The sequence below is a fragment of the Homo sapiens genome, chromosome 14 (genome assembly GCF_000001405.40).
Source record: "Homo sapiens chromosome 14, GRCh38.p14 Primary Assembly".
Lineage (NCBI taxonomy): Eukaryota > Metazoa > Chordata > Mammalia > Primates > Hominidae > Homo > Homo sapiens.
In genome coordinates, this window is record NC_000014.9 from 55,713,001 (window position 1) to 55,728,577 (window position 15,577).

The 15,577-nt window shown below is 41.4% G+C and overlaps 1 long non-coding RNA gene across 1 annotated transcript; it reads left to right on the forward strand.

Moving 5' to 3' along the window:
• Positions 1-2,500: 2,500 nt before the first annotated feature.
• LOC124903320 (uncharacterized) lies at positions 2,501-8,735 on the forward strand. The gene is made up of 2 exons (XR_007064179.1): positions 2,501-2,714; positions 8,423-8,735. It is a non-coding gene; the product is annotated as an uncharacterized LOC124903320 (long non-coding RNA).
• The last annotated feature ends 6,842 nt before the right edge of the window (positions 8,736-15,577 follow it).

A 15,577-nucleotide genomic window follows, 5' to 3' on the forward strand; every position in this document is an offset into this window, starting at 1 on the left:
TGAGGAGCTGGCCTTTGGCAGTTTTGGTGGTCTGATGAGTGGTTTATCTATTGTCAAAGACTCTTATTCCCTCTCCTCCTCAGTCCTCCGCTGCTCTCAGTGCTCCAGGCAGTGACAGCTGGATTCTGCCTGGCTGTGCTTGCCTTTTAATGGAGGTGTAGCCCTCTTTAGACACACACAAAGCAAGGGTCAGCTCCCAGCCCTCCAGGAATCTGGCTCTGTGGTGAGGGGCCTGCTCACCAGGCACCTACCCTACAAGGAGTGTTGGGTTCAGGGCACAGATTAGCAGCCAGTTCCTTTATCCAGAAAAATGGGAATGACATGGGGCTGGAGGAAAGCATGAAGGGAAACAAGATAAAAGGACACACACACGATAATGAGAATAAAACGGTACAGGAAATCAGGAGAATAAATGAATTTGTGAATGATGAGGGCTAATGCAATTGCACTTTACCTCCCAACTTTTTGGCAGCTACGACAAAAAATGAAGTATAATAATGGGAAAGAGAATTTCTATTAGTAATGATAGCTAAGATTTTCTGCCTTCTAGGTACCAGGCACTGTTTCGGCACTTTACTGGGATTGTCTCATTTTATTCTCACAAGAGCTCTGTGAGGAGGTACTAGTTTAATGCCTATTTTACATATGAAGAAACAGAGAGGAAGGTTACGTAACTGGTAAGTGGTGGACCGAGTTACGACATTACTCTGTCTGACTCCAAAGCCCAACCTCAAACTCTCAACCTATGCTATATATACTGCCTCAGCATATGGAAAAGGGGATGCATAGCTCTTTCTGTCTTCATCATCAAACCAAAATCTAGATTGGGGTCCCCCACTGGCCCAATGGGCCAACCTGATTTTACCCAGTCACTACTGTGTCTGTAGACAGAGAACAGAAAGCTTGTCTCAGGGAGCAGGTGCAACGAGGCAATGGGAGTCGTTGCCATTCCAGAAGGTCACTTAGAGGCAGAGGGGCAGGGAGACCTTGCTTCATTTCAGGCTTCCTGAACTTTAGATTTTTGCCTATTCCAGTGATGAATTCAGAAGTGAGGACAGCTATGTTGAAAACTAGGCATGAGGAGAAACAATTTTTTTTTTTTGAGACAGAGTCTCACTTTGTCACCCAGACTAGAGTGCAGTGGCACGATCTTGGCTCACTGCAACCTCCGCCTCCCAGGTTCAAGTGATTCTCCTGCCTCAACCTCCCGAGTAGCTGGGATTACAAGCATGCACCACCACACCCAGGTAATTTTTGTATTTTTAGTAGAGATGGGGTTTCTCCATGTTGGCCAGGCTGGTCTCAAACTCCTGGCCTCAAGTGATCGGCCCACCTCAGCCTCCCAAAGTGCTGGGATTACAGGCATCAGCCACTGTGCCTGGCCAAAACAATTTCCTTTAATTAAGTATCATGTCATTTCACCTGACACATCTCAGGTGCCCTCATTCTCTTGGCCTCACCTGTGTTCCAGACTCAGGGCTTGCTCCATCTCAGTTGCTGCAGTGACACTGGCTCTGGCAAGGCTCTGATGTGGGGCTGAGGCCCAGAGTCTTTCTGCCTCCTCCCTGCGGCACTGCTGGACGTGAATGAGCATCATGCCACAAGATGTGCCATCTGGATCCCCTGGGGGCAATAGGTCTTTTAATTTAACTCCGAAATTCAAAGTGTGACTGTGGGTCACATTCTACCAATGAGAATGAAGTTAGGTAAACAAATTCCCTGTCCATTCTTCTCTTTGATGGACATTTTTTCTCTATATAGCTTGGCCAGAGATGTCTTGTGTGGTCAAGAAGGTACACGAGTTGGGGATTGAATGCATCTCTTGAAACTTGTTGAGGAGCAGTGGACAGCATTTACTCTCCATCCTTCCCTGACTTGCTTTCCTTTTTCCTCAGGTGCAATGCCCTGGCACTGTACTTCCTAAAGCATTAGCCCTTAATCCTTGTCTCAGGACATGTTTTCAAGGAATTCAGGCTGAGAGTGCTCTAACATGGGTTTTAGAGTAAAAAGTGAAATTTCTTCTGAACTTTTCCTCTAGATTACTGTCCTGTCCCATTCAGTTTTAAGGGAAGATGACTTTGGTTGATGGATTAGGCTGTCCAAGAAGCAAAGAGCCCTGTGGCTCTGATGTGAGAGGTATATACTTTGCTTGGGGAGGGGGGTCTGATCTCTCAACCTCAAAAGCTCGACGTTATGCTATATATATATATATATATTTTTTTTTTTTTTTTTTTTTTGAGATGGAGTCTCGCTCTGTTGCCCAGGCTGGAGTGCAGTGGTGTGATGTCGGCTCACTGCAAGCTCCTCCTCCTGGGTTCACGCTATTCTCCTGCCTCAGCCTCCCGAGTAGCTGGGACTACAGGTGCCCACCACCACGCCCAGCTAATTTTTTTGTATTTTTAGTAGAGACGGGGTTTCATCATGTTAGCCAGGATGGTCTCGATATCCTGACCTCCTGATCCGCCCGCCTCGGCCTCCCAAAGTGCTGGGATTACAGGCGTGAGCCACCGCTCCCGGCCACAGTATATGTATTTTAAGCACCAGTTTGTTGTTTACCAGACGAACATGAGAACAGCACAGACCCACTTCCCTCCAGACGTCCAAATGGCTGTGTATGTTTCAGGGACAACCAAGATGAGACAGACTGACGCATTTGGAGTCAAAGACTGCTCAATGGGTTCTTTTGGGACAGAGGTATATCTAGTCTCTCCATGGTAAGTTTGATTGGGATGAACAGTTCATTTCTTTGCTGCTTACCTGGTCCTGCCTTGACGGCCCCATCTCTTCTCTTTTGTCTGTGCCCTCTGCCTTCACACACGATTGTAGTGAGATGATCCAAATTCCTCTGGCTGAGCCTTGTGTCTCTCCTTCCTAAAAAGCTAAGTGGTGGTTCAGCCACGGAGGACTGAAAATCTGTTGTGAATTGGTGATATTAGAAAGTTGCGGCCACAACTTTCCATTTTAATCACTTAGAATGAGTTCCCTTGCTCTGATGTCACTGCCAAATTCCTGTGGGACTCTTCACAGATGAATTCCAGATAGCTGAGCATCTTGTTGTCAAACAGAAAAATAAGAACTGGAACATTTTTCCCCACTGGGTTAAGAAAATGCTGCAAGTGAGATGTCCTGGTTTCCCATGACAACGCCCCCTCCTTTAGCCAATCACTTTAGCTAGTCACATCTGTTGGCCCCTGGCTATAGAGAAGTCACTGTGAGGAACCGTGTGGTTGCTGGAGGCTTGTTTTACATACCCGTTTCTATGGGTTCTCACACAACAGTGACACAACCTAAGATTTCATGAGCTAATGGATCTCTGAAAAGCCAATTTAAATTTCCAGGGTTTATGAAATGTTCCTAAGTGGTTCTGTAGCTATTACAGTGAAAATACCAGAGCAAAGCCACCCTAGAGCAAAGCTGTTGAACCTCCATTCCAAGCCTAATTGTGAGAGGCTGCTTAGGTAATATCAGTATGAAAGAAGCTGCTTTATGTGTGGGAGAGAAAGGATCAATCCATGACTTCAGAGTGCCCTAGGCTGGGTCAGATTGGAGGTAGGATGGAAAAAGGTCTTTGAGGATCAGAGAAAGCAACCCAGCAGAACCCACACCACTCCGTGCACAACCCACACAGCTCTGTCCTTTTCCACTTCAAAATCTTCCGGCAGACAGCACAGAGGCACAGCATGGAAGCTATGCCCCCCAAACCAAGATTGGAGCTTCCCCTGGAGTCCCTGTTTAGAGGAAAAGTCACTGAAACAGACTTTCCCGGGGGTCTTCAAAGAAGTCCCATTTTGGTGTATGGTATTTTGGGACTATGGCCTCAGAAGCAGTGGCTATCCAGGCCCCACTGTGAAAGGAGCACAGCGGTACAAAAGGTTTAGGGGTGATGAAAGGTGGAAGACTTGGGTAAAGGCAGGCAGGAGGCACCTCCGGGTGTGTGAAGTTGAAGCATTAGTTTTCGCATGGAAGGGCTGCTCTGGTCCAGGAGCTGGAAGCAGACAGAGTTGTGAGCCCCCGATGCCCAAGCCTGGGATTTCTTCCTCCACTCACCATCAACTCCAATCCCATTCTCCACTGTGGCTTGTGAGACTCCCTACCTTGTCTGGTCCCCAGGAGCAGAATAGATTTGGTGGCCTCATGGACAGAAGGATCCTCACACAGTGGCTGCTTCTAGGATCAACATGACCCCCTTAGATCCTGGAATCTGGATTCTTCTGGGAAGAGCTTCCCGCTTCCCCATTTTAAGCACCAATTTGTTGTTTACTGGATGAACATCAGAATAGCACAGGCCCCTTTCCTTTCAGATGTCCAAGCGGCCACATATGTAGCAGGGACCATCAGGAAGGAAACAGACTGATGCATTTGGAGTCCAAGACCTTTTACTAAATGAGTTCTTTTGGGATCACAGACGGATAAACAGATATATGTTCTCAGCGTTTTCTTGTTCATATCTTTGGTGCCAGGGTGTCTGAGTGCTCTTTTGTTGAGAGCTGCATACAAAATTCACTACAGACTACTCAGCCTGGGGTCTAGTTTCTCTCTCTCTCTGTAGATTCAGCAGGACTGTGAGTTGACCATAGCCCTTCCAAAAGCAGACATGGCCTCTACTCAGCTAATTTTGTCTCCCAACTTTTCTTTTTTCTGTGTGAACCTTTTAATAGCTGGGCCAGACCATTCCTATGGAGACGGTTAAGTAAATTCCCGCGGAGCAAGGTAACATGATAGCATTTCCTTGGTGGTGTATTTCTACCATTTTTTCTACTTCTTGTTTTGCTCATCTCTCTTCTCCTTCCCTTAATGGCGTTTTTTTTTGGTTAATAGAGTAAGGGCCCTGTCAGGCTGTTGAGGCACCCAGAGTTGCTGGTTCTTCCTGGAGTGCTGAATTAATATTCAGTGTAGAGAAAGAAAAATACCTTACTCTGGAAATTCAGGACATTTCCTTCCTTCCTTCCTTCCTTCCTTCCTTCCTTCCTTCCTTCCTTCCTTCCTTCCTTCCCTCCCCTTCCTTCTCTTTCTTTCTTTCTTTCTTTTTCTTTCTTTCTTTCTTTCTTTCTTCCTTCCTTCCTTCCTTCCTTCCTTCCTTCCTTCCTTCCTTTCTTTCTTTCCTTCTTTCTTTCCTTCCTTCCTTCCTTCCTTCCTTCCTTCCTTCCTTCTTTCTTTCTTTCTTTCTTTCTTTCTTTCTTTCTTTTCTTTCTCTCTTTCTTTCTCTCTTTCTTCTTTCTTTTAGATGGAGTCTTGCTCTGTCGCCCAGGCTGGAGTGCAGTGGAGTGATCTCAGCTCACTACAACCTCTGCCTCCTGGGTTCAAGCAATTCTGTCTCAGCCTCCCTGAGGGGTAGCTGGAACCACAGGTGCATGCCACCATGCCTGGCTAATTTTTGTATTTTTAGTAGAGATGCGGTTGCACCAGTTGGTCAGGCTGGTCTCAAACTCCTGACCTCAGGTGATCCACCTGCCTCAGCCTCCCAAAGTGCTGGGATTACAGGTGTGAGCCACCATGCCCAGCCAGGACATTTCTATACAAAAAGTTGCTTCTCTGTGCTGAGGCACACTAAATACAAATCTTACTTTTCTGACAAACTGGAGACCTTCTAGAACAATGATTTCCAAATTTTTTAAAGAATCAAACTCCTCCTCAAGTGATGTATTAGACAGATTGTGCAGCAGCCCTGGCTGTGGAGTGGGATAGATGCCCCACCCTTTTGGGCTTCTTTCCCTCTCCCTCCCTTGGCAGCCATCCATGCGCCCCTCCATTGAGCTGTGACTCTGCAGAACAGGGAGAAACTATGCTGGTGGAAAGTGTGAGCTGGTATGTCTAGGTATTTATTGACAAAATCATGATACTGCCAAAGACTATATATGTTGCTGGTTTGACAAAAGTATGTTTGTATATCTATGGCACAGGTGAGCTATGGCCTCTATAGAGAGCCATTTGACAGTTAGGTATAGTTCCTGCCTAGAGGGAAGTAACAACTTAGGTCCTGTAACAGGCACACAGATATGTGTATGGTGGTGGGTGCTGGGTATCTACGTTTCCAGGTCATTTCCACCATGACCTAGCCCAGATAAACATGAAGATATGAGGAAGGCTTCTTGGGAGCCACAAGTCTGCTTAGGGACCAAACAGGAGAGATTCTTCCATCATTTTTGAATCAACATTCCGTGACAGTCAAAAAGCCATAGGGTTCCCCTCTGGGTTTCCTTAATCCTATGTTGGTTCAGTGAAGCTCATCTATTCCAGTTGACTTGAAGGTCATTGATAACAAATTGATGATTTGGTGACTGTTACATAACTGTTTCGATTATGAATTTTGATTGACCTCTGCCTCCCCCACAAGTTATCAGCACCCATGTTTCCTATCCCCATTGCTGGCGGGTACCATGAACCATTCACTACTTGTGCTTGGGCTGAGTCTTTCTCAACAAGCACAGCCTAGGAAGCAAGAACAGCAGGTGGAATTGTGTGCTCTGAAGGCTGTTGACTGACAAGGCCCGGTATGTGGTATTAACCTACCCTGGCCAGCTCCTGTTACCTCTGCAGCCCACAACCAGCAATAGTGACCATTCTCTGTGATCACAGAAATTGTTCATTGCAGTCCATTTTGTCATGTGAAAGAAAAAATGGGCTTTGTCTCATAAATTACATCCCATTAAATTCCAAGTATTTCTGAGAATTCAGGAAGAGGAACAGAGTAAGTTCTGTTTGTTCATGACTGAATAATTGCTAATTGGTTATTCATTTTAAAACACACAGAGAATTACATTTAATGCTGTTGTCTTCATCTGGAAAGAGATTTGTTTTGTTTGATAGAGCATAAGCTGTGACATCTTGGGGAAGTACAAATGACTTGGTCCTACCTGAAATTCACAGATTTGAAATTTTACAATTTCCTTTAGGTGAGAAATCAAATAATAGGTACTAAATTACCTTTCTAATTTATTGGTCCCATAACATTGCAAAAGTACCTCTCAGGCCTGATGGAGCCCTCCTGTTCCATCCACGGGGACTTTTTTCTCTCCCTGAAGACGGGCAGGAGTTCCTTCTCTTTCCTCCACCCTATGACACTTCCTAAAAACACTCTGTTCCATAAACTGTCTTTCTTGGTTTATTAAAAAAAAAAATCGGTGGTACAATGAGGTTCAATATGCAGAATCTGGCATGCGTAGCTTGTGTTGAAGGGCTGACACAGTTGAAATAATGAATTTCATTTATAAAAGGAATGCAGTTGACTACTAATAGTTTGAGTTTTCTTCAATTAGTGATGATGAATTTCCCATTCACTCATTCAGTAAATATCAGTTGATCATATTCTCTATGTTCCAATCTTACCCTATCCTTCTGATCTTTCTTTATCTGCTCAAGAACTTTCCTGCTGTTTAATTATCTGCTGCTAGGGAGATGGTGAGTGTAATCATGGATGAGAATAAAACAATATGAATGAACCTCTGGTTCTTAGCACAGTCCTTTAACCTATAGAGCAATTGTATTAGCCATCATTTCCTTTTTCTGGTAAGTGAGATTTCAAAATAATAACTGTATATTATAGCCATCCTGAGGAGTTTAAGAACATGGCCTCCAAAATACAATATCCTGAGATTGAATCCTAACTCTGCCACTTACTGTACAGGAGACCTTGGGCAAGACACTTCACCTCAGGGTGTCTCAGTTCTCTCACCTGCGAAATGGGATAATAATGTAACCCACCTTTTAGGGTTAGTGTGAGGATTAAATGAGATAATCCTAAAAAGTTCATAAAATAGGAAGTGGCACAGGGTAAATTCTCAGTAAATGTGAGCCATAATTATAATTGTAATCATTTTTTGATCTCTTTAATTTTTCTTAGTTATCATAGAAAATACAGCTGTGAAGAGTGATCATTGCATATAAATAATGACAATAACCTTTGGACTTACCTGATTCTTGTCTAAAAGCCTGCTGTGAAAGATGTTGTCCTGGGGCATAGTATACTGTTCTTCCTTCTCTCCCACATGCGGGAAAGGAAGCGCATAGCAATGAGATGGTAGATTACAGTGGAAGTCAGGAGACACAAAGTTGGGTGTTACACCTTCTTGATTATGGAACAACTCTGGGTGAATTCTTCAGTTACTTGCAGGTTACCTTTTCCTACATACAAAATTAAACTGTCAGAAACTACAGTTTGTGGCAGTGAGAGCCTTGAGACATGTACGTATCGTGGCTTATTATATATTTTCAAGAATTTTGTGTATAATGTGGTGCAAGTGAGCAAAAGCACACATCCTTGTGAGCCCACTGGGTTCCATGGAAGTCTTTTCTTTAACATGTTAAAAAAAACCCCAAAATACTGTCATTTATTGAGCCTCTAGTATGTGGTTCTATATATTTATTATCTCATTTATCCTTCAGGGCAATTTGATGACTAACTTGTATTGTTCTCATTTTTCAGATAAGGAATCTGAGCCTCCAAGAGTTGTAGTGACATGTTCAAGCCACATGGTTAGTGAGAAGCAGAGAAAGGACCTAAGGTCAGAGCAATCTTAAGCAGGTCCTCTGTGGTCATGGTTAGTGTGGTTTGCTTCCAGGCCAGACCATTTCCTTGCTGATGCAAGATTCTCCAGAGCTCTCCTTTTCCCCCGGGAAGTGGTGATTGGCTGCTCCATCAGCCTGTGTCCTTGAGTGACTGTGCTGGGCAGAATGCCCTGCCAGCCTGAGAGGGACCTGTGGTGTAGAACATGAAATAAAAACCTTTGTGGTTTTCAGTTATTGAGATCTGGGGGTTCTTTGTTACTGCACCATAACCTGGCAGATCTTAAACACAAAATCTTAATGATCTGTACACAGATTGAATACTTGGTGCCCATTTCAAACATTTTTAGAATAGGAAGGAAAACCCAGAATCCAAGAAAGCAAAGTCTTGAATTCTAAATTCTCGTGTCTTTATTGACAGTTTGGTAAAACAAGCAAACAAACAAAAACACACATTAAAAAAAAACAAAAACAAAAATTAGTCTTAAGGAGTTGTCTTTCAACCATGCAAATAATCATAAGAATCGTTGTCTTAGTTTTCACAGCTTATCAGAGGACTCTTCACCTTCATTTCTCTTGGTACTGTATCTATGTGGCCTGAGGAGGAATCATGGCTATAACGTGGTTTCTGCCTGTGCAAGCAGATTGAATTTATTTCTGTCTGAGCCCATCCCTATCTGTCATCCAATTATCATCAATAAATATTTAAATGTCAGGCCAGCAGCCCCAGAAGGGAGCCCTGGGTATTAGGCCTTTGCGAGTCCCAGCTGATCGTTATTAATTCAATGAATGTAGTTGTAAATTGGCTAAGAATACACAATGGAAGCGATTACAAGTGCTCTTGTCAGTGTGGGCTCATTCCATTGAAAGATGGTTCAGATTTGCTTTTGCCTCATTCCAAGGAAATATGAGATGCAATTTGCTTCAAACTAAATGCTCGCTTAGTTTCTTGCCCAAATGTTAAACAAGAATAAGGCAGGTTGGAAGGACCATCTCTGGAATGTATTGTTCTGAATGACTTAGAGGTTTGCAGGGCCACTTTTTGAGCTAATGTAAATTGGCAGGAAAATGCTTTCCATTGAGATGAATTATGTGCTCAGGGTTACCTGTTTTTTTATCTGAGTTAGAGAAGTCAGAGTAGATAAAAATGAAATGACCCATTATCAAATAATCAATGAAAAAGCTACACTCCTGCAATGTTTCTGGATCAATATACAAGTTACCTTTCAGATAGATGAATTGTCCTTGTGTTGTTCAGAGCAGAACAAAGCCCGCCTCCAGCCAGTCTCCCCAAATGCACTCTGTGTGAAAACATAAAGCATTAAACCATCAGGGACAAAAAAGTGGGGTGCTGTCCACATGGCAGCCCTTCCCAAACGGTGCTCAATGAGACTATTCTTGGGAATGTGTTTGGTACACACGGATCTGAGGCACAGCTGTTGCAGGTTAAGGGCGAGGTGTAGAAGAGGTTCTGGGGACACAGCATGTTCATTCCCCAAGGGCAGGAGCATCAATCAGCAAGAACTTCCCGAAAGATATATTTCACATGATCTATCAAAATTTAAATTGCTCTACACTTTGTCCTAGCAATCCAATTTTAAGAATTCATCCTGCAAATTGTAGCTACACATGTATGCCAAGATCTTTGTGAGAGGATGTTTCTTGTTTGTGATGGTAAAAACATAATCACAAGTTGAAAATGTCCATCACAATGGGAATGGTTAGGTAAACTGTAATATATCAACACTGTCAAGTACTATCAGCTGTTAAAAGGTAGATATGTATATGCTAACATGTGATCTTGGGAACTTATTTAATCTCTCATGAATAACTCATGACTCCCACCGCCTTCTTCCATTCTAAGACCATTCCATGTCTTATTCAGCCCTGAATATTCAATATCTAACATAGGGCCTGACTCCATAATGCTAATTACATTTGATTAAATATTTGCTAAAAAAATTGAGGGTGCTGACAGAGATCCCCCTTGCCTTATGTTTTACTTATCCAATTTGTAAAATAGGGATAATAATAGTATTTAATAAGTATTAGCTGAGTGACAGATAAAATGAAAGGGGTGTGTGTGTGTGTGTGTGCATGTACGTATATATACAATGTTTTATTTTTGGAGAGACTAAACTCTAGAAAAGTAAGTGAAAAACTCATAGACAGAGCTAAGCAAAGAATCCCAAGATCCTCACCTGGGAGTGTGAGATGGGAAGATGAAAGAGGAGGAAAAGTAGCCTGTCCTGCACGTGCAGACTACTGTGTGCAGAGCTATCTGTTATATGCTTTTCACAGTTGTTTCATTTAAAACTCACCATCATTTGAAGTATTATCATTCCCATTTACAGATGAGAAAAATAAAGCTCAGAAAACTTACCCAAGATCACTCAGTTGAAGTAGCAGAACTACGCTTCCAATCTAGGTCTAGTGTTAAAGCCCATGGCTCCCACCACTTCCTTCCATTCTGAGACCACATTTTACTCATCCCTGAGTATTCAATGTCTAGCATAGGGCCTGACTCCATAATACTTCTTACATTTGATTAAATATTTGCTAAAAAAAATTGAGGATGCTGAGTGAGATCCCCTTTGCTTTCTGTTCCTTAACACGTGTGTCAGTGCTCCCTTCCCCAAACAACCTAGATTTTCTTGAATGTTTAAGGTCTTTTTTTGTATGTATCTTACCCACCTGTATCAGTCAGCATAGCCTAAGTTACACTGCAGTGGCAAACAACTCTAAGCGTGTCAGTGAATTACTCCTTTGTTAATGTACCTCACGGACTGACTGCCAGTCTGCTCCATTGAGATGAATTATGTGCTCAGGGTTACCTGGTTTTCATTTTGGGACCCAGGCGGAAGAAGCAGCTCCTTCCTGAGACATGGTGGGTCTCACTGGAGAGAAGAGGGATGCAGGAATCATATAATGTCCCTGAAAACTTCTGCACAGAAGTAGCACATGTCACTTCCACTCACATTTCATTGGCCACAGTGAGTCTGATGGCAGACATGAACACTACGAAATGGAAAGAGCGTGATCTTCTTGTAGGAGGGGTGTCTGCAGACAGAGGCCAGTAAGAAGAAACTGGGAAGAAAGGCAGCAACTATTTTGAACAGTAATGCAATATACATCACCACATTACTGCAAAATAAATTATAAGCTGCTTAAAGTGACACTGTTTTCTGTATCCGTTTAGCTTTGTATCTCCAATGGAACTTTAACTTTTCCAATGCTAGTGCCTGCCTTCTTCTCTACATAGTAAACATTACCTTTGATGGGAGTCAGTCTTATTCAAAATCAGCAGTTCTCAAAATGTGTTGGGGGAACCCCAGTGTTTCTGAGACTTTCTCAGTATCTTTGTGAGGTCAAAACTATCTTAATAATAATTCTACAAAGACGTTATTTGCCTTTTTCACTTGCATCCTCCCATGAGTGGACAGAGGGGTTCTCCAGATGCTCTGTGACATGTGATATCAGAACAGGTTGAATATAGAAGCAGATATGAGAGTCTAGCTATCTTTAAAGAAGCCAGGCATGAAAGAGATGTGCAAAAATATAAAGCAAAGCCAATCTCTTACTAATGTTTTTGTTTTGGAAAATATAGTTGTATTTTGTGAAAATATTAACATGTAGTAGGTTAATTCTTTTAAGATTAACAAATTCATATTTAAAATTCTTTTCAGTTTTAATTTCTAATGGCAAAAATCAATACTTGTAATACATTTACACTAAAGCTCTTTCAGGTCCTTAATCATCTTTCAAGAGTATAAAGGGTTTCTGAGAACAAAATGTTTGAGAACTTCTGTCTTAACATGATTGTGGCAGGCCCTGCCTGTTTCAATGACAATGTTAGCTGGAAAGATCATTAAACACAGTTAAAGTTTCCTTAGCTATACTGAAGATAGCATTGAGCCCAGTGGGTTCTTATAAATACTGTTATTTTTCATAATCATCACCAGTGTTCCATATCTGGTACTTCCTAAAGGGGGAGAGATGATTAGTTTGTTAAAGAAGATTGGTTGCATGAATTATTTCCAGCCTTGCAGAAGTTCACAGCTTGATATTGCATCAGTAATGAATAAGAAAAATGGTGGTATATAACCCTGAAAAGAAAAATGCTGCTTTCTAATAAGAGGCACTAGTAATTGAACGTTGTCTTGGAGCTTTATGATCATGTCTCGCTAGCTTCAACACAGAAGAACTGAAAACAAGCCATGCTTTTACAGTGGTGAATAATAATAATGATGACTTTGTATGGAGCCTTGATTCAGGCACTGTGGCGTTTTTCACGTACAAATCAATTAAGTCTCCATTCACATTTGTGACCAAACTTCGCTAGTTTATTTATTTTTTGAAATCTACCTCCTGCTTTTGTCTTTGCACTGTGCCAGTACTCTCTTCCACAAACAAAAGGTGTCACCCGACAAAAGGGCTTGAATTTATGGGCAGGGTCCTTTTTTCTCTGTTGCGGAATTTTTATCAAATAACTTTGCATGGGATGCAGTGTGGAAAGGGAGTGAGTATGAACATTCTTCATTTCATGGTCATACTGATTGTAAGACTATGACAAGGCTGGACAGAGGGTAGGGGTCTGGAGGAAGCCCTGGTCATTTAAGAGTTTAGTTGGCATTGTGCTGGTTCCACAGAGGGATCTATCAGAGAAATCACTGGTGCTGGCAGAGAGCTTAGTAGCTGCTAAAAACTGTATTTATTCTTTTGTCTAATTGCATTAACCACCAGAATATTGCTGGACGAAAGTAGAGATGGTGGACAACTTTCCTTCTTGATTTTAACAGGATTATTTCCATGGTAATTCACCATATAAATGTTAAGCTAGCTCTTTTAAGACCTATATTTTTATCTATTTATTCTCCCTTCTTTAAATATATTTATTATGTTATAGATGTCACTACATATTCCTGTATCCATATCATCTTACCTCATTAAGGGTTTTTCTGGGGAATGAGTATTAAATTTTATTAAATTCTGTTTTAGGCATGTATTTATATGGCCACATGAGTTTTCTCCTTTAACCTATCAGTGTGGATGCTCTCATGAATAGATTTCTTAATATTAAATTACTTTTGTATTTTTGGAATAAAACTTGCCTAACCTATTACCCTTTTTTTATTATTATACTTTAAGTTCTAGGGTACATGTGCACAATGTGCAGGTTTGTTACATATGTATACATGTGCCATGTTGGTTTGCTGCATCCATTAACTCATCATTTACATTAGGTATTTCTCCTAATGCTATCCCTCCCCCAGCCCCCGACCCTACAACAGGCGCGGTGTGTGATGTTCCCTGCCCTGTGTCCAAGTGTTTTCATTGTTCAGTTTCCACCTATGAGTGAGAACATGCGGTGTTTGGTTTTCTGTTCTTGTGATAGTTTGCTTAGAATGATGGTTTCCAGCTTCATCCATGTCTCTGCAAAGGACATGAACTCATCCCTTTTTATGGCTGCATAGTATTCCATGGTGTATATGTGCCACATTTTCTTAATCCAGTCTATCATTGGTGGACATTTGGGTTGGTTCCAAGTCTTTGCTATTGTGAATAGTGCTGCAATAAACATACGTGTCCATGTGTCTTTATAGTAGCATGATTTATAATCCTTTGGGTATATACCCAGTAATGGGATCACTGGGTCAAATGGTATTTCTAGTTCTAGATCCTTGAGGAATCGCCACAGTGTCTTCCACAATGGTGGAACTAATTGACACTCCCACCAACAGTGTAAAAGTGTTCCTATTTCTCCACATCCTCTCCAGCACCTGTTGTTTCCTGACTTTTTAATGATCGCCATTCTAACTGGTGTGAGATGGTATCTCATTGTGGTTTTGATTTGCATTTCTCTGATGGCCAGTGATGATGAGCATTTTTTCATGTGTCTGTTGGCTGCATAAATGTCTTTTTTTGAGAAGTGTCTGTTCATATCCTTTGCCCACTTTTTGATGGGGTTTTTTTTTTCTTGTAAATTTGTTTAAGTTCATTGTAGATTCTGGATATTAGCCCTTCATCAGATGGGTAGATTGCAAAAAATTTTCTCCCATTCTGTAGGTTTCCTGTTCACTCTGATGGTAGTTTCTTTTGCTGTGCAGAAGCTCTTTAGTTTAATTAGATCCCATTTGTCTATTTTGGCTTTTGTTGCCATTGCTTTTGGTGTTTTAGTCATGAAGTCCTTGCCCATGCCTATGGCCTGAATGGTATTGGTTTTCTTCTAGGGTTTTTATGGTTTTAGGTCTAACATTTGTCTTTAATCCATCTTGAATTAATTTTTGTATAAGGTGTAAGGAAAGGATCCAGTTTCAGCTTTCTACTTATGGCTAGCCAGTTTTCCCAGCACCATTTATTAAATAGGGAATCCTTTCCACATTTCTTGTCAGGTTTGTCAAAGATCAGATGGTTGTAGATGTGTGGTGTTATTTCTGAGGCCTCTGTTCTGTTCCATTGGTCTATATCTCTGTTTTGGTACCAGTATCATTCTGTTTTGGTTACTGTAGCCTTGTAGTATAGTTTGAAGTCAGGTAGCGTGATGCCTCCAGCTTTGTTCTTTTGGCTTAGGATTGTCTTGGCAATATGGGCTCTTTTTTGGTTCCATATGAACTTTAAACATATTACCCTTTTAATATATTGCTGGATTCTCTTTGTTAAGGTTTTGCTGGGTTTTAAGTCATTGGTATTTAGGTTTTCTGAAAAGAACTGGAAAGCTTTATTTCTTTCTCTATGCTCTGAAACAGGTAGCATTGGAATGATCAGTTCCTTGAAAATTTAGAAGGATTCATCCATGGATCCACTTATGTTAGGTGTTTTTTTTTTTTTTTTTTGCAGGGGCAACTATTTGCAACTTATACAATTGCTATCAAAGTTATCGATCATTCTTTTCCTATATTACTTCTTTGAATTTTGATAAATATTTCCCTAGAAAATTTTTATCTAGGCTTTCAAATTTATTAACATAGAGCTCTACACCATATTCTTTTATTATGGTTTTATACAACTTTATTTTTAATGTCTGCATAATATTCCATAGGTGGATATGCCATAATTCATAAATGTAAAAACAGTT